Raw genomic sequence first — 19,054 nt, forward strand, 5'->3', positions numbered from 1 at the left:
GCCAAAGTATGATACTACTGGCCTCAGCACATTTTGAGAAAGCCTCTCTGAGGCTTTCTCAGGGAAATGGTTTTATTTTAAAACAAAAAACCCTCTTTTTAAAATCATTGAACTCCATTTGGCACCCAAAACATGGCATTCATTACTTAGCTCTATATTACTCGTCCTTTTGACTAATTACAAGAATCATATTCACAGAGATGTTTTGCAACATTGAAGAGATCAGACAGAATGCTTTAGGTTGTGTGTGGTGGCTCACACCTGTAATCCCAGCACTTTTGGGAGGCTGAGGCAGATGGATCACTTGAGGTCAGGAGTTTGAGACCAGCCTGGGCAACAGAGTGAGACCCTGTCTCAAGAAAAAAAAAAAAAAGAATAATAAGTTATTAGTGATAATTTTGAAACATCAATAATTTGGAATTTTAAACAATATCACCCTTATTATTTTTATAATGCTTTTGTGCAATTTGATTAAATCATGGGTAAGGAAACATTAAAAATACTGTACCCCTACTGTGATCCTATAAGATCAAGTAGACGCTTGTAGGTCAGATTCCTCATCTCCTAATTAAGTTATACTGTCTATAATAAGAGAAGTGCCATGTTTGTAATGTGGTCCACTGGATGGTAAATAAGGACTCAGGTTGGCAGTATTGTGGAGCCTTGCCATGAGCAGGAAGCAACACCGATTAAAATAGCAAAACTGAAACCATGCTGGTGTATGGGACTATTTCGATTAGAGGCAAGCTAACTTAATAGCTTCTGAGACTATCAATGAAGTGTAAAGCACAGATCAGAGCTCATATTGTAGACACTGAGTCATTCAAAAAAGATTGTTATATTCTTCATACTACGTTTTAAAAGGCAGGAGGGAAGCATTAATATATTTTATACAAATTTCAATCCAAAGTTTTCAAAATAAAAAAGTGTACATCTAAGTGGGGTGGGAGGTGTCAGCTTTGGGTATCTCAGATCCGTGTGTCATACAGTTTTCCGTGATCCCAGGCACTGAAGTCAACATCTGTGCCCTTGTACAGCAGCTGCAGCTGTACTTTAAGATTGTACAGCTGCATACCTTCATGTCCATTCTCTCACTATTTGGTACTTTGACACACAATCTTGGTGAATCTTGGACTTTAAGTTCTCAAAAAACTATAAGTGCTGTCCAAATAAGAGCTTCCCAAACTCTTGAAGAGAAAATACCATCCTTGTTCTGTCATCTTAGGTCAGAACAGCCAATTCAGTGACCTAAAAGTAATGTAAGGAAAGGCAAAAGCAAGTATCATGTATAAAATAGTTTATTACCATAATAAATAAAACTTTTTTTTTTTACAAATATCATTTGTGCTTGTTTAAAAATGTTGAGAAGGGAATATCATCAATGGAAGGGCCTGCACGTTCCTCTTAACATTCCCAAGCCACAGATATACAGTGGTGTTCTTGGCAGCATCCTCAGCTGACCACAAAAATAGTATCAGCTCATTTACACTTTTGTTTATTCATGCTCATTTGGACAAAGTGACAGATGCAAAGGAAAAAGAAAACCCAATAAAGGATTTGGCAGGACTCAATGGAAAGAGTATTAATATAAGGAGAAGCCCCAGAATGATGAACTGCTCATAAGTAGAAGTGTCCTTGAGGTGTCGGTGAAATGTCGGATGTGGACAGTCTCCAACTGATGCACAAATACAGCATCGGAATATTAAGAGAATACATTCATTAGGGGAGGGTGCATCCTTCAACATAAGATCAGTTTATATCCTGATACAAGATCTGTGAACTTCTCATTGAACAACTAATGGATCCGTCGGATGACTCAGAAGTCACAGATAAAGGGACAGTGGCTGTAAGAAAAGTTTAATGGCAGGCAGGGAGGGCACCCACCAGTCTGGCACCTGCAGGGAATTCAAGTCCAGTTCTAGAGGTTCCAGAATAAGTCTGATATGCTTGCATGAGAATGAAGTTTCACTTGAATTTAAGCTGCAGATAAATTCACATTGATTCTTTTGAGCTGTAGGGGGTAGAAATTAAAACTTCTCAACATGAACACCTTTGGTGAGAAAATGTTTTTTTCTCTGATGTTTGCAGTCAGTGCTGAGAGGATCATGAAGTCTCCCCCAGGTGGAGGGCACAGGAGCTGGTGAAGGTAATTTTTAATTGAAGCGAGTGAGAAGGCAGTATATAGAGCAATAACAATGATTTAGCAACAGAGGGAGGCTGTCTGGGGCATCAAGTGTGCCCTCAATGGCCTCCTCTTTAAGCAACACTAGGTGATAAGGGAGGAGAGAGGAAGGGGCATTGGCAGCTCTATCACAGCTGGAGTTCCATTCAAGGGTCTTAAGGCTAAACGTCTTTATTGCAAGACATAGTAAAACCTATTAATCAAATGCACATCAGCAACGTGTATCTCCACCAGGGCTCCTAAAATTTCCCAGAGTATGCATGGGAGACATAGTGGTCAGTGCAACAAGGGGAAATGAGAATCTTCCTATACCTAGTCTTCCTATACCTAGTATTCCTAAAGAGTTCATTTAGTCCCCACAAGGGCCTGGACAAAGAGCTTGACAGTTGGCATAATACTTCTACCTTCCATTTAAGGATTTGGAGAGGAAGCTTGCTGAATGGGATGGGGTGGTATAGTACATTTTTACCCCTGCCCAGCCCTCCCCACTTTTGAAAGAGGAGGATTCCAGGAAAGGGGCTGATGTTTGGCCAACAGCAGCACACTGGATCGAAGAGGTTGTGGGTAAAACAGTCCCCAGGGATTGGATAACAAGAAGAAATCAAGTAAGAAATGCATTTCCAAAAGTTTGCTGGAAGGCTGCTAAATGGGCTCAGCTTTTTAAATACTTGGGCTATCCTGTAGCATTAATGTTGTAACCTTATTAGCATAATGTAGCATTGCATTAATGCAATGAGTTGCATTCATGAATGCAATGAGTTGCATTAATTGTACACTAGACAATTTGGTTTCTCAACCAAATGGTCGTCTCTGTTTCCGTCCTTTGGCTATCTTGTCATGTCCAGTGGAGGAGCCCTTTGTAAGTATATGGGATGGCAGCGCCCATTGCTGGAGTCAATGCCCCCCCACCAAGAACAAACACCACCTCATTGACCATCTTAGTTCTTAGAGTTAACCTTAAACCCACCCCTCCATCAGCCGGGAGGAGCACGTTCAACCAGCAGCCAAGTGACAGGGACAGGACCTACCCTCTTCAAAGCAGCCTGTCAGGATATTCTCTGGGAAATGGAGCTTCAATATGAATGACATTCAAAGTAAAGAATTTAGTAGAAATCAAATAACCAGCACTTACTAGATAATGGTGCCACATATCATGCCCCGACTCCTCAAAGAGGAAAAACATACATCCTGGGCAAATCTGTTCTCTCTTGGCATACTTTTTCTGAAGTCTAAATGTTCTGTCCCATACCTAGTAACTTTTTGTTTCCCTAATCTCTCTCCAGCCACCAGATAATGGTTTATACTGGAAGGCTCAGGTCACTGGTATCTGAGGCACATGGTCCTGGCTCGGGAACCCAGAGTGGCATCCTGGCATGGGAAGGCAGTCAGCACAAAGCAGCCTGCGGTCAAGTTCATGGTGCGAAAAGGAAGGGAGAAAGGTTTGGCTCATTTACACAATGTTTTTTCAAAGAAAACAATTACAGCAAAAAATCCCTCAAATCCTAGGGAGGATTACAGGAGAATAAAGCCCATGCACCCACACGTGCACCTGTGACCCAAGATGAACAGATTCCTGCCGCAGGAGCTGGCTTCCAGTCATGAGCCCAGTTTGCGCTGATTCACGAGTGCATTCCTAAAGCTACATTCCCCCCAAGAACATGTCTGGACTTCAAAGCCTTATACCATCTTTGCCCCTCATACCCAGAGGTCTGAGAAATTTCACGGACATCCGTCTCCCTCAGGCAGAGCTGGAGGGAAATGGCAGGGCCTCTTGACATTGACCGTTGGGTGCCAGACAAGAAGCCTGTCATCAAGTCCCTGGAGAGCTGAGAGGCAAAAAAGTGTCTCCAGTGGCAGGTTCTTCTGAGGCTGGGTTTTGGGGGTGATTAGAGGCCTGCCCTGCCTTAAAAGTGGTGGGTCCTAAACTTCAGAAGCAGGTTGAGGAGCATGTTTAAGAAATGGCAGACTAGAATGTTAGGGGGCAGCCAACAGATGGGATTCCAGATATTTTACGGCCTCTTACCCAAGGACTGGTTGGCAGCTTCTCAAGTGAAAGAGGCTGAAGGCCTCACAGCTTTATTCAAAGTCACAGATAGTTGTGACTCGGCCTTAGGAAATTAGACTTCCTCTTACTTGTATGCCGCCATCTGAGGCTAAATCTAATTATGTCGCAACCTGGAGAAGCCAGGGGCAGCCCCTGTAAGCCTGATGTGAGAAGCTACATATGAGGTTAGGGCTCATGGAGCAGGACTCTCCCTTGAGCTCGCAGGCCTTGTCTTCCCAGGGCCATCTGTGCCAACCCTGCGAACCAGGAGAGGTCAGCCCTGCCTTGCACAGACAACCGAGGGCCCAGCCCTGGGACTCGCCGTGAGCACTGGGCAGGACTAAGGAGGTGGGGTGGGGTGGGGTGGTGGGCAGTCTCAGACCGGAGGCTCTCAGAAACACTGAATATCTTTGGTAGGGCAGAGGTACCAGGAATGGGGTCACCGTCTAACACAGGCAAAGGTAAGCTCCCTGGATAAGTCCATGCTGTCACCTGTACTCCTAATTCCATTCCCTCCAAGTTGACTTTTCAGAGCTGAACTTCTAACCTTGCGTGTCAGTATTTGGGGTCCTGACACCTCTCTCTAGGGCATATGCCCCGGCCAGCTCCACTGTGCCTGGAAGAGACTTCACTCCTTTCCTTTCTCAGATGCCATTGAGAGAAGCCCAAGCACATGAATAACCTGACTTAGGTGACCATGAGGCAGTGAAGTGTCCCCGAGCATCGTGGCATAGGGGCTTGGATGGCCCATACGCAGTTCTGTGACCATCACTGGGAGCCACAGCTCCAAGGCCACTTCTCTCCATCACCTTACAGAGAGCTGGAAACTCACTGCTTCATTCTCTTTCCAGCTCCTGAAGAGAGTACAATCATGATCCTGCAGTCTTTTTCCATTTTCTCTTGAAATCCTACTGACTTTAATAGGAAATAGAGAGACTGGCTTTAAAATAAGGCCCAGCATGGCTCCCAAGTGCCTATAATGACCCCGTGCGGTGAACAAAATACAAAGGTCTGCAGGGCAATCCCAATGAGAATCAAAGTATAAACATAGCACTTGCTACAGTTCTGAGGTTGTGTGTGTCTGTGTGTCTGCTTTGTTAATAAAGCAACTCTGGGCTCATGACCCTTCCTGCCGATGCTCCATACCCTGAGGAATGCCATGGGGACACTTGGGAAGAGGCCAAGAAGGAACAGAAGCAAGGGAGCCTGTGTGTGAGGCCAGCAGCATGGAGCAGGGCCAGAGGCTCAGCCAGGCACTCCAGAGCCCTCCCTGTCAACTGTCCCAGAGGAGCAGGCTATGGGTTGCACCGCAGAGAACCCCTGGATCTTAAGGGCCCCTCTCCAGCTCTTACCCTTGCCTCACCTCCTTTGGGGAAGGAGACCTGAGGATTCCCAGCTTCAAGTGTCTATGGGAGGCATGCACCACACCTGCAGCTGCTTTTCTGGCCTTAACCATGAGACAGAAAGTTTCTGAGCTCTACCCTCCTGTCCCTCAAGCTCTGCTTGTCCCGAGCTAGTTATAAATGACAACTACAGGAAAACATGGTGACGTCAGACACGGGCTGTACAAGGACGGGGATGCCGGGAAGTCCTTGGCCCACTGCAGTCCATGGGGGGTCTTGGCAAAGGAGCCCAGCATAGTATATACATGAGAGGTTCTCGGCACTTTCCCACCAGTCCCCAGATGGCTGCTGCTCTGTTCTGGTAGTTTTAATCTTTTACAAATATCATGGTAGTAAAAAATTAAAAATGAAGGAAAATACCCTTTAGACAGCATGTCCCTTCTTCCAAAATTGTGCAAAGACGGTTCAGATGCAGCTGCCACCTTGCAGGGTAGGGGCACGCTACCCTTCCCATATCTTTTTCCAGATAGAGAAAGAGCACGTCTAAGCCACTGGCCCCACTTTTTCTGTTAGGAAAAGCCTACTTGAAAATTGTTGGTCATGTGGACATATGTGGTAGGGGTGGTGGTGACGGCAGGGTTGGAGGTATCTGTCTCTGACTTTTTTTTTAAATAGACCTCTCAGCTGGCTCCAAAAATGTCTCTCTCTGATTCTGGGGACTGTGGCCTCGATATTTCAAACAACTCCTGAGGAGACTGAGAGGATCTTCTGGAAGTTAATATCCTGAGTATCTCAGAGAGCTGTTTCTCAATATTGGTCATTTTGGCGTTTAAGGCCTTGATGTCCTCCTTCAGCTCGTGCCTCACCTCCAGGACTGTGGCCTGCAGCGTCTGCTCAGGGATGGGGTAGAACGAATGCTTGACCTCTGCCAGGATGGGACTCCGATCCTGGGGACTCCTGGCCTCACCCACGTTGTCCAGGCGCAAGTCGCTCTTGGTGATGCCACTGTCACACGAGTCTGTCTTCTTCAGTGTGGCCTCGCCTGACGCTTTTGTCCTCTCGGGAAGTGTCTCCATCGACTCAGCCTTGGACACCTTGTTCCAGTCCTCACTCTTCCCGCAAGCATCTTTGAAGCGGGCCCAGCTTTTGCGCTTGGCACAATCGCCCCCGCCCCCCTTGGGGCCCAGGCACTCGGACCCTGGCGCCTGTAGCTTTGCGTGGTCTGGCACCCCGGAGGTGGAGGCTGCCTGGAAGGATACGGGCGTGGCAGGACTCTCACGCACGGTGACCACGCTGGCCTTCACGAGGCTGTGGTTGGCGGAGGCATGCTCTGTAAGGACATTGCCCTTCTCCACATCTAGGTCATCCAGGTCCCGGCCCCCTCTCTCAGCTGCCAGCCTGGCCTCTTTCTGCTGTCGGAATCTCTGGAAGAGGCGCCGGACAGGGTGGTCCGGGGGCAAGATCAGGGGGGCCTCATTCTTTCGTTTCATGCGTTCTTCCTCTTCACGTTTCACATCGCTGATCTTCCGGAACACAATCTGGAGAGAGAGAGAGAGAGAATGACATGGCGTGTTAGCCACATGCTGGCTGCAGCAGCCCAGCTCAGCCCTTCTGCCTATCTTGGCCCTCTGCTTCCAGTCCACCTGCCACCAAGAGGCTGGGGCTCACAGCCTACAAGGCCTCATGAGGCTTTTCTCTATGACTGACATCACCCTCCTTTTCTTGACACTGGCTCCCAGCTTTCCAACAGCAGGGAATTGACTCCCTTTGTCATTCCCTTCAAGAGGAACACATCCCATTTTTTCCCCTCTCCACATGCCAGGAGGCTGAAGAATCCAAAGAGCATCTTCCCAGGGGACTGTCCTAGCCTCTGTGCCTGGCCTCCCTTAAATCCATCCTTGTCTGCAATTCAGCAGCATCTGATGAGCCTTTCAAATATCACTTTTCTGGCCCCACTTCAGACCTACTCCATTAGTATCTCTGCACAAAAGTTTGAGCATCTCTGGCCTAAAACCACACTTCAGGGCAAGAAAGTCCCCAGGCAAGGCTACAGCTAAGGTTTCCAATGCCACCCACAGATCTGGACCCTAAGTGAATGTGGTTGGCTGTGAAAAGTAAAAGTCATTCTCACACGGAAGTCCTTGTCTTGGGGAGCTTACAGTAGACTAACATCTGTAAAGTTGAACATAAACTTGTCCTAACAATAATACCCATCACTTGGACAGTGCTTTGCAGGTCACAAGGCACTTTAATGCTACTTCATGTATTCCTTTTGACAGCACTGTAAGGTCACTGGAACAACTGTTATTATCCCCATTTCAGAGATAAGGTAAACCACAGCTCAGGGTGGCTAAATATCACATAACAGGTAAGTTGCCTAGAAGGGACTTGTACCCAAGGTATCAAACCCCAGATCCGTTAGGTGGCCAGCAGGTAATGACTAATGGTGACAATACTTCACGCAGAGGATGGACCATCAGCAAAACAGACTCATGAATTTGGCCCTGAGTGCAGCATAAGCCACAGCTTACAGGGCCTTCCCCTGGGTCAGCATCTGACTATGGGAAAGCCCCAAAATTTCTAGCTTACATTGCATGTGGCAGTTAGACTCTGGGACGTGTTTTGACCCATATCATGTTTGAATTCGTGAGAGGCAACCTGCAATAGGTTGTCTTTTTAGTGTAAATTTCTGATTTGAGGACTAGAGGTATTGAGATTGTGTAGAATTAGAGGAGAGGCCTGCGGTAAGGGAGAACAGCAGCTTTCTCATCATCCAATCTGGAAAACTCTGTGCCCTGGGCAGGCCACTTAGACCCACCCAAAACCTGTCCCAGGGACTTGCCACAGGACCGCCAGTCTTGGGGAGGCACACGTGGTGGCATGCCAGGAGCAGGGGTTTGGGGTCAGAAAGAACTAAGTTTAAGTCCCAGCCCCATTACTTGACTGTGGAACCTCACAGAGGTATCTTAACTTCTGAGTCTCAGCTTCCTCCTTAAAAAGTGAGGAAAATCTCTACTTTTCAGACTTGGTATAAAGCTGATACAAGATGACTTATATGAAATCACTGGCCCACTGGAGATGCTTAAATGGCTCCTGTTGTCCTTGACCTTTCACAGCCCCCAGATGAAGATGACAAGCAACTCACCCTACCTCCTCCAAGAGGCCCTGCCCCATGCTATCACCAGCAGGTTCTCAGGTATGACCAACAAGATGATTGTTTTATAGTGCCCAACACAGAGAAGCCAAATAAACGGTTAATTGCTTGATGCTAGGAATCCATCAGCAAATCGCTGGCAGACTAGAGGCCCACGTCTATGCTCTAACTTCTTGGTTAAAGTTTCTGTCACTGGCTGACTTTACACTGAGGTCACTACACAGGTGGATGGATGGTTAAATCTTCCAGCTATTACCTGGGTTCCAGTATGTGGCTTTCTGACCTCCACTGGGCAGCATTTCTCCCATCCCTGCCTCCTCTGGTCCCCTCCTTAGCTGTACCCCAACTGCCCCTATAGTCTGCCTTGCAGATCCAAGAAATGGGACTCAGGAGAATCCTGTCCACCCTGAAGAGGGCCAGAGAAACCCAACTAAAGGCCTCATGGGGGATGGGAAAGTGATAAGTAGAGTGATTGGGACCCTTTTCACTCTGTGCTCTGAGTTGGATGCCTCTGTACACACTGTGCTCTGTTCTGGGAATGGCCTCTGCTCTCCATTGAGCATCCAAATCCTGTTCACACCAAGACCCAGCGCAAATGCACCTCTTCCAGAAAGTCTTCCCTGATTCCAATGTGCTCTAAGTTATCCTCCTACCTCCCAACTCCAATGGCCCTTTCTATGGTCAGACTGTTCTTCTGTCCTAGTTACTCTCTATCTTTTATCTATTTGTAGTAGGGAGGCCAACTTTCTTCTGCCTACTCACATGCCTTCTTAGAGAGGAGAGGAGAGAATAAGGGAATAGGAAGGAAGGTGGAATGGAGGGAAGGAATGCAGAAAAGGGGAAGGAGAGAAATGGGTGAGAATGTGAATGTACCCAAGAGAGATGATGGCTTTTAGAGCTCATTGCTCTTTTCCTGCCCTTTATATCTGCAGGATATCTGATTCCTAACACTATCCCCCTTTTTCACTTGAGCAAGTTTGGGTGAGTCTATTCCTTGTAAGCAACAATTCCTGAACACAAACATATCTTATCCCCCTAAAAGGTCCCTGAGGGTTTAGAACAGTACTTTGGAGGTCACACTGTATTTTTTACTTTTTAAATTTTTGCTTATTATTTGCCCTAAAAGAGCAATGATTTTCCATTTTGTTCCCAATTTCCAGCTGTTTGAAGTGCCTGGTACCTAGCAGGCCCTCAGTAAATATTTGTGGAATGTAGAACACATAAATATTGGCTAATGAATCCGTGGGAGAATATCTTCTTCCTGGAAAGAAGAAATCACAGAGGTCATAGTCAATGTTATAAAAAGCAGGGTTTGGCCTGGACACACATCTCCCTCAACATCAAAGGTCAGGGGCAGCCTCTGAGACTTGAGATGTTCTAAGACTTATGAAAAGGAAGTTCTTCAGATATTGAGGAGTCAACGCAAAACGGATCCCAAGAGGCTGTACAGCAAAGGCTTAACATAATTCATGGTGGACATTTGGGAGGGGAAGTGGGAGTTCCTCTTTGAGGGTGTGGCTATATTGTGCTTGTCACCCAGAGGCCCCATGGGTCAGAATCCTGGACTGAACCAGCCAGCGTATTCAGGTGTTCTGACTGAGTGGTCGACGTGGGCAGTTCAGACACTCAATGACAGGGCCTGTTGGTGGAACCATGGGTCTCTGGATCTGTGCAGGCTTTTTTTCCAAAGTGTCATCTTAGGCTGCCCTCCATCATCCTGTGTGCTAGGCAGCCCCCTGAACATCACTGTCTCAACCAATGGACAGGTGAGCCAGGGACGAGCTTCCTACCCTGCAGAAATGCCTGGTTCTTCCTTTGAGAATCAGAGGGGTAAAACCAGCAACCCCCAGGGGACAAGGCAAAAGGAGTTTTTACAGAGCTGATGTGGTCTGACAGCTTTGCTGACCTGGAGTCAAGGGCTCTGCTTACTAACTTCGACTGCTTTTCTGGAGAAGTTAGTCACGGAGTCTGTCTCAGAGGCAGCCATGACCACGCATTTTGCCAAGTATTTTAGATCTAAGTGGGCAGGAGTGGTTGTATGACTCATGACAATGAGGTCTGTGCCACCAGCACCAGCCACAGCAGCTCTCCGTCTGCTTGGAGATGCTCCACAGCTCCCCATGGCAAGAGTGTATCCTGGGAACGATGGGCATGACTCCCAACTCCCTAACTCAGGATGCTCCCTGTACTGGACAGGTGATGGATGGAGGTCTAGGGAACAAGTGTGTCCAAAGTATTCCATGATGCTCTAATAGGTACTATGAGGGGGAAAAGTTCCAAGGTTAGGTAAGTTTGAGTCACACTGCAATGTTAAATGGGTTGCTTTACTGCAGGACTTCTCAGAGCCTTAACATGCTAATGTGCCTTACGAATGTCTAAGGGGAAGACATTATATGCAGCATTTCTTAAGCCAGTTCCCCCAGATCCACTCTTTTGAATGAAAGAACCCCGTCTGGAAAACACTAAAATTATATCAATGTGTAGGGTATAGGATGCTCTCTGTATTTGTGTATAGCCCTAACAGATGGTCAGTTGTTTCCTGTTCCAACTGAAGGGGACCTCTTGTCTCTAACTCATTCACTGAACCCCTGGAATTTGAGATTTGAGGACTCCATTGCAGATGCATTACCCCCTGGTGGACAGGCCAGGATCAATCCAAACTTTGTGGCTATAGCCATCCCCCTGTTTGTGAAGCCAAAAGAAGTGATGCATATTGCCCTCCCTCCAAAAATCTGCTTCTAATGTTTGTGGTTTAATGGGGAGAGAGAAAAAGAGATCACAGGTAACTTCTCTATGCACCACACATAGGCTCCTGAAGGATGGTGTGAAAATAAAACCCTAAAGGACTTCCATTTTTCACTCATCCTCATTGCAGGCTGACCTCATACTGATTTCATCATCTCTTCCTGGCTGATTTTATTTTTTGAACTCTTACATGAGCTCAGAGAGCTGACATTTAAAAGTACCCCTGAGATAAACATTTTTGCAATGAGGACAACTGCTCATTGGCTCTTGCCTTCTTTTTTCACATCACAGATCCTTAGTCAGGGACCACACCAACAGAGAGGTGCTGGGGTCTGTCTGGAGAGGTTGTTCCACTGCAAAAGGCCCAGCCCTGGTGATAGAAAACTACTCTGTTCCTGGCATGGGTTCAAGGCACTGGTAATGGGATAAGTCCAGATCCTTCCTGGATCCAGCTAGAGTCCTGCCAGCCCACAGGGGCATATATTTTTCTAGCCTGACATGTTGCTCAGAATGCTGAGAAGCTCATGACTTATTGCAACCTAGAGACAGAGGACACCTGGAGGGCAGGGATGCTGCTGTGCCTTGCTCATCCAACTTGGCATCCCTCTGAGGTCGCACCAAGCCAACAGCCCTGAGCCTGGGAAGACTTAAATGGTTGTTGAGCTGAATGGAATTGACACTCAGATCCTTAAGCTACAGGGATTTCTGAGTAATTATTTTCAACTTGGTTTGAAAAACCAATACCCCTGGAATCTGACGTGAGTCAGGATAGTCGACCACCTCTTCTGGGTTACATTAAAAGAAGGCCCAGCTCTTCTCGTGCCTAACCTGTTCTCCCCTTGGCCTGGTCCTAGCTAGAGTTTGAGGAGTTGTCCCCTTGGGGTCTCAGCAGCACGCATGGGGGAAAGGCAGGCCTAGGAGGGGAATGGACTTGCTGGTGTCCTGACAGCAAGACGATGTGGGGAGGGCACCCAAGTGGGAGCACATTTACTTAAAAGAACTCAGATTGTGGAATAAAAATACATATGTAATGTCAGTCCTCAGTGGTTTGCATAAATGAGCAGGGGCTGAGGTGTGAGTCATTGAAATCTATGGATGTATCAAAAAGGATTTAGATGATTTTCTCTTGGGTTCAGACACACGTCCCCAGTCTGAAATGCTCAGCAGTAGAAAGAGCACTGGCTTGGAGTGGTCCTAGCTCTGCCACTGACCAGTCACTGTGTGACCTTGGGAAAGTTATATCCTTCCTTGGTTGTATCAGATCAATGGTTCTGAAATCTGGCTACACGTCAGAACCCACTGAAGAGGTTCTCTAGTGAGTGAGAATTTCCCGTGGCAGGGCTAGAAACTGGCATTTGCAGCAAACTCCCAGGTGATTCTGACATGGGCAGCCTGACCCAGGTCTGCTGACCAGGCTCTCAGAACCCCTGGATGGATGGATGGTGAGGTCACTGCTACTCTGCTGTCCCCTGTGCATGGACTTGTGCTCACACATGAGCATGGCCACACACACCAGCTTCCTGTGCACCTCTCTGCCTGTACTCACACTTCCAGCCAGACTCAGCCCTCCTAGGTGCTGCCTGGGATTGGAGTGGGGGATGACCCTGGTGAGTCTCTCCCTCAGCCTCTGGTCCCTGAAGGATGACTAAGAGGAAACGCGCAGGCCCTGCAACCACCTTTAACTCTTTCTTTCTTAGATCTGACAAAAAGCTGTCTAGAGTTGGGGTACACAAAGCCGTCTAGAGTTGGGGTACACAAAGCCAAGCAAACATTTATTGAGCAACCACTGTCTGAGAGCACTCAGCAGGGTGCACACACTGTATAGCTCCTTGCTAGTAGGAGCCAGGCCTCTTCTCCCAGAGCTGGGGTCCATGCTGGTGCTGACTCAGGCACCTTGAGTGGCCGAGCGTCAGAAGGGCCATAATATCCCCACAGGCTCACTTGACGTAGCTTTCCTCGTGGTTTCCTCACCCACCAGCCTCCTCCACCAGTCACCCTGCCTGGTTTTATGGCAGAGCATAAAACATGAAGATTAACAAACTGGGCCATTTAAGAAACTTAAAACACTGAAAAACAAACTGCAGATGGGCAGATAGGATGAGGCAGTTGGTTGGGTTTTACTTTTGGAAAAGGCCAGTTCTCAACCCCCTCAGAAAGATCACTTCTGTTACTATGGAATCAAATGCTACATTTTCTCCTCGGTATCATGATGAATACATGACAGCCCAGAACATGGGAGGCCCTGAGCCTCGAGGAGGGGAGGGGGCCCCAGAGGGACCTAGGCCTGTTCGGCTAAGGCTGTGTGGCACCCTGGCCTGAAGCTGGAGGGAGCAAAGCACAGCACTGTCCTCCAGGAGATGCCAGGCTCGGGAGATACAGCAGTAAACTCACAGTGTAAGCACAAAGTGCTAAAGTGGGCCTGGGGTGGGAGGGTGAGGGCAGGAGCCTGTGGAGTCAGCATGGGGTGATGGCATGTGCACACGCTTTGGAAGTCAGGCGGACTTGGATCGTGTTCCCCAAACCTCAGTTTCAGCACAGAATACAACTGCTTTCACAGAACTGTTATGAGGATTAAGTTGGATAATGTAAGTAAGCCCTTAAGGAGAGTGCTTGACTTTAATAGTTGCTCAGTAAATGTATTATGTATTACTCTTTGTGGGGGCTTGAGATGATTCTAGAAGGATGAGCTAGAATTAGGTACACAAGGTGAAGGATTTGGGCGAGGGTGTTCCAAACAGGGAACAGCCCACGCCAAGACACAAAGGCAGAAATGCCAGCCAGGGAAGAACAATGTCTTTGTGGGGCAGTCCTGGTGAGAGGAGCTGACACTGATGGAGAGCTCTAATGTGCCAGGCGCTGTGTTAAATGTTGGACCTGTGCCATCCTTAATGAAACCCCAGCAGGTGGGTACATTATTATCCTCATTTTTCAAATAATGAAACCGAGTGTAGAAAGAGTAAGTGACTACCCAAGAGGACAAAGCTGTGGAGCCGTGAGCCAAACCCGGGCAACCTGAGTCCCTGCCCACACCATGTATGAAGCCATTCTTCTAGGGAAAATGCCTTGGGTTTTAGGACAAAGGACAGTTTCTCTCAGTATATGTTGATGACCTCCACTAGTGTCTTTGTGTCCATTGGCAACTTCTCTAAAGAATTCAGGGGCAGCACTAGGAAGTAGAATATCTGGCTAAGGGAAGGCAAGAGGCCAAGAAACCGAGATTCCCAGAGGATTTAAAGAGGGAATGCCTCTCTAGATGCATTCGGCTGTGTGGTCTTTTAACTTGTCAGGATGGACCAATGACTTAGGGTGAAACCCAGACTTTGATTGATTAAGGTAAAAAAGAGGGCTAGCAACACATGAGCCCAACTGTTTGGCTTATTGGAAAATCCTGCCTCCCTGGAGGATGCTGAGGTTACCAGTTACCCTGTTGGCCACTTGTGACCTCTGGGTCCAGCACTAGTTAGGAGGAGTAGGAATGCACAGATGTCCCAGTGGCCTTCATCCAGGAAAACCCTAGAGGCTAGAGCTGTTCTGTTCTCAGGGGACCTGGTCCACTGGCTCTCAGCACACTGCTAACAGGCAGGCCCCTCCCACCACCATGCAGCATCTGCACTTTCTTCTGGCGTTAATCAAGAATGACTTGTCTGACCCATCAGTGACATCCCATCATCTTATTAACTGGCATCTTATTCACTCTTATAAGGCCCCTCCTAGACTGGTGGGCATGGGCAGTAGGTGGATTGGACATATCTACTTTTGACAGACCAACCTGGGGCCTGAAAGACTCCCAGAGATGCTCCTGTTCCTCTGTCTTCAGGAAGGTCCAAACCCAAAACAGATGAGTATCCTTCCTTCTCAATGCCATCCAGAGAATGAGATGTGCCCCTGGGTTGCTACTCAGGGAAGAGATGGCGCTGCTGTGCAAGAGTTGCTATCCTCCGGCATTTCACTAGGGGCCACATTTGTCACCTTCTCCTTGTTTTGTGCTCCCTCAGTGTAGTGGACTGAATTATGACCCTCAAAAGACACATCCACTCAGAACTTCAGAAGGTGGCCTTATTTGGAATAAGGTTCTTTGCAGATGTAAGCAAGGTAAGGATCTCAAGATGAGATCATCCTGCATTAGAGTGGGCTCTAGACCAGTGATGAATGTCATTACAAGAGACAGGGAAAAATGCAGAACACAGAGAAAGGCCATGGGGAAGACGGAGGAGATACTGGAGTTACGTAGCTACAAGCCAAGGAATGCCAAGGATTGCCGACAGCAACCAGAAGCTAAGACAGGCCTGGAATGGATCCTCCTCCAAACCTCCAGAAGGAACCAAGGCAGTAGACAACTTTATTTCAGACCTCTGGCCTCCAGAACTGTGAAAGAGAAGCAATTTGTTTTAAGCCACCAAGTCTGTGGTCGTTTGTATGGCAGCCCTCAAACTAGAGCACAAGGTCTGCTTCACCACTTCCTCCTGTCTCCCTCCCCTAACGGAGGCCCTGTCCACAGCCCTGCCCTTTGCGCTCAGGCCTCCACCAGCTGTTCTCCCTTCTGCTTCAGTATTCACCCTCATGCAGCTGAAGCCGGCATAGAAGCCAACAAGACAATGGATGCAAGTGCCCACACCCGCCGTGTGCTGGTTTCAGACCCTGAGGAAATTACTTGATCTTTCGAAGCCTTAGTTGTCTTCTGTACAAAGTTCCTACTTCCTCTTCCTGTGGAGTTGCAATGAAATAACATGAGAGAAGCCCCCCTCCCTTCACATTTATAAACCAATGCTGCTTTTCTTTCTAGTCCCAGCCTGAATATTCCCACACTAAGCATGGGTACATCAGTGTTTCAGAGACCCCTCAAACTCTACTGTCCTAGCCAGAGCAGTCTCCCTTCCCACCTAGTTCTTCTTCAGTGCAGGTGAAGTAGATAATCAGGCCGGTAGGAATCAGAACCCCACTTGGGTGGGTGGGAGGAGCAACCAAAGAGAGGCCAGGTAGAAGACTATGACTAAAGCTAATCACAGATATGGAGGGGATGGCCCAGGGAAGCAGAGGAGTGGACAGATAAAACACAACATGGCCCACTTCTAGACATACACACCAGTTCATGATGTAAGGAGAAACAAATATGAGCTGCAAACTGCACCTCATTCATCTGAACCTGAATCAAGAATGACTTGTCTGACTCATCAGTGCCATCCCATGAAGACTGGCATCATCTTACATCATCTTATTCACTCTTATGAGGGTCCCCACCTATACTGGTGGCCATCTTCTTTTGACAGACCAACTTCGACCTGTGGCCTCACCTGCACTAGGTCCCTGAGGGGCATTTGCAGCCTTGTGGGTATCCCTGGGAGACGCATGCTAACTAACTCACTCCTACAGGGCTTTGGCCCCTAATGTTGTCCCCCATCCTAGGAACCAGATGGAAGCATGTGCAAACCACAAGCCTTCCCTTAGCCCTTCCAGAGGCAGTTTTAGGAGCCTGCTTGCCCGCTTATGTCTCCACTCCCAGGAGATTCTACTCTGATCCCTCAAAGGAGGAAAAGTCTTACAGACTGGATCTTTGAACCTCTCCCTACTTCCATTAAAAGCTCCTTGAAGCATGTGGCCTCACTGGGCAGCCCTCAGGACTCCTGTCTTTGCCCCTTCACTCTGACAGTGCATAATGGGAAAGCCTAGAACCCCTAGAATGAAGACCATGCCGGTAAAGACAGGGGAAATAGGGTAAGACTGCCACATAGGACATATTTCATTCTCATGTTTTGAGGACACACACACACGCTCAGCAAACAAGATGTCCCTTCTCGGTGCCAGTGTACCAGCTGCACACTTATCTCCTCTTACCAGCTACTCCCGGCCCTCACTCCCCCTGCTTTTTTTTCCCCTTAGTGACTGACTGACAGGTATCTTATCCTGGGTAGAGGCCCGAGGCACTGGATCTGAAGCCAAAAACAGCTGAAGGGTGGTGGGAGTAGGCAGTATTCCCATCCATGCTGCCTGAGCCCTCTGTCTGCAGGGCATATGCCCAGTGGGGAGCAGAGCCACAGCCTGTCCCCTAGGTGGGGAAGAAACTCTCAGCCAGTGAGGGGTCTGCAGTCCAAAATTCCCAGGGAATCCCCCTGGAGCTGGGCAGGCCCTAGTCCCAGGCCCCCTGGGGAGAGCCTCTGTTTTGTGATGGATTTCACAGGACTTCACAGCTTTGTACGTCCATTCTTTGACCAAACCTAAATTTTTCACTGGGGTTTTAAGCCTCAGGTCCTTTCTTTATGGAGAGGTGACGTTCTCTCCAAAACTTCATTACACAAGGAAACAGCTCTGATCAGCCATTCAGACACTCTTTATGCAGTGCCTACTGAATACAGAGCAATGTATGAGATAGTTGGTCCACATTTAAAGAAAGCTAAGACGCTTCCTCTTAGAAGCTGATGATCCAACAGCTTTCCCAGCCTGAGCTGATCTGGGAAACAGCTGTATTTTACAGAAGGACCAACTGAGAATGAGAAAGGGAAGGGGGATGGGGGCAGCGCCCATATAGTGTTTGCTTCTCCTTGGAGTCTGGATGGTGGTTCAGAGGCTGTTCTAGAGCAATCCAACCTCTCTTTAGAATGCTGACACTGATTTATGGAGTTGGCACTGCTCTATTCTTAGCCATGGATGGGGCCACCAGGCCATGACGCCACTCTCCTAATGAGAGGGGGCAATGGAGAGTTCCTAAGCAGCTGCCACCAACAACTCAAGTCCTTTACTTTATCCAGCTTAGTCATGACAGCAGCTCTGGGAGATGCTCTGTTGAATGTGCTTTCATGAGGAATTTTTCCACTTGTGAGAGCATTATTCCCAGTTTACAGATGTGATGGTGACTCAGAATGGTAACTGGTCATTCACTTGAGTTCTTGGTATATAGTGCTGACTTCAGTCCCTTAGGACCTGGACCATTTCTAACCTACCTCTCATTAACACCTAGTATATTTACACTGTGTTCAATTTTAGCACCTGAGACTATCAATATATTCACCTATCTATCTTTTTATGTGTTTGAATTATCTCCCTACTCCCATTGTCCCTCCTTCCCTCAATGATAAGTCTCCTTGCTAGAATAAACCCTGCCTTGTTCATTTTTGTGACCCCAAAACTAGAAGGGTGCTTGTCACACAGCAAACATTCAGTGACTATCTGGGGACTGACAGATTGCATGACTTGGGCAAGTCAATTAACTTCTTTGTCTTTGTCTATTATAATTTGGAAATAATATGCTTTACAAGAGAAATATGAGGATGAAGTGAGACAGTGAGCCCCAGGATGTGTGCATCAGCTCTTTATGTATTGCCAATTAGCACCAAGTCCACCCTCCACACTCCGCTGGCTGGGCACTGGCCAGTCAGTTACCCAGACTCCCTTGCCGGCTAGTTTCCTGTTAGGGTCTGCCAGTGGCAGCTCTGGCAGACTGACAGGCGGGAGGAGGAGAGAAGGGGCTTCCTCCCTGCTTTCAGCTCCTGTAGTATGGCTCCAGCAGCAGTGGTCAGCTTTAGTCCCACTCTCCAGCAGTTTCTCTGGTCACTCCCTGCACAAGCTTCTTCAGTTCTCAGCTGTGTACCTGG

The 19,054-nt window shown here is 47.9% G+C and overlaps 1 protein-coding gene across 5 annotated transcripts in view, besides 3 other annotated features; it reads right to left on the minus strand.

Moving 5' to 3' along the window:
- Positions 1,283 to 19,054, minus strand: part of KCNH1 (potassium voltage-gated channel subfamily H member 1) — a 455,835-nt gene continuing 438,063 nt past the window's right edge. For 4 of the 5 annotated variants that reach the window (NM_002238.4, NM_172362.3, XM_047419829.1 and 1 more), the window contains one exon: positions 1,283 to 7,107. In NM_002238.4, the coding sequence (NP_002229.1) occupies positions 6,250 to 7,107 (858 nt within the window). In that variant the 3' untranslated portion in view covers positions 1,283 to 6,249. The remainder of the gene's footprint in view (positions 7,108 to 19,054) is intronic. The other variant, XM_047419823.1, reaches the window with a different exon arrangement.
- Positions 7,804 to 8,003: an enhancer, noted in NCBI's record as "active region_2479". NCBI's record gives its function as "activates an Ori minimal core promoter by ATAC-STARR-seq in GM12878 lymphoblastoid cells {active_cell/tissue: GM12878}" and the evidence as "EXISTENCE:reporter gene assay evidence [ECO:0000049][PMID:35858748]".
- Positions 8,184 to 8,233: an enhancer, noted in NCBI's record as "active region_2480". NCBI's record gives its function as "activates an Ori minimal core promoter by ATAC-STARR-seq in GM12878 lymphoblastoid cells {active_cell/tissue: GM12878}" and the evidence as "EXISTENCE:reporter gene assay evidence [ECO:0000049][PMID:35858748]".
- Positions 13,148 to 13,648: an enhancer, noted in NCBI's record as "H3K27ac hESC enhancer chr1:210863521-210864021 (GRCh37/hg19 assembly coordinates)". NCBI's record gives its function as "activates a minimal SCP1, AML or CMV promoter by ChIP-STARR-seq in primed H9 embryonic stem cells {active_cell/tissue: H9 hESC(primed)}" and the evidence as "EXISTENCE:reporter gene assay evidence [ECO:0000049][PMID:30033119]".

The sequence above is a fragment of the Homo sapiens genome, chromosome 1 (assembly GCF_000001405.40).
Source record: "Homo sapiens chromosome 1, GRCh38.p14 Primary Assembly".
Lineage (NCBI taxonomy): Eukaryota > Metazoa > Chordata > Mammalia > Primates > Hominidae > Homo > Homo sapiens.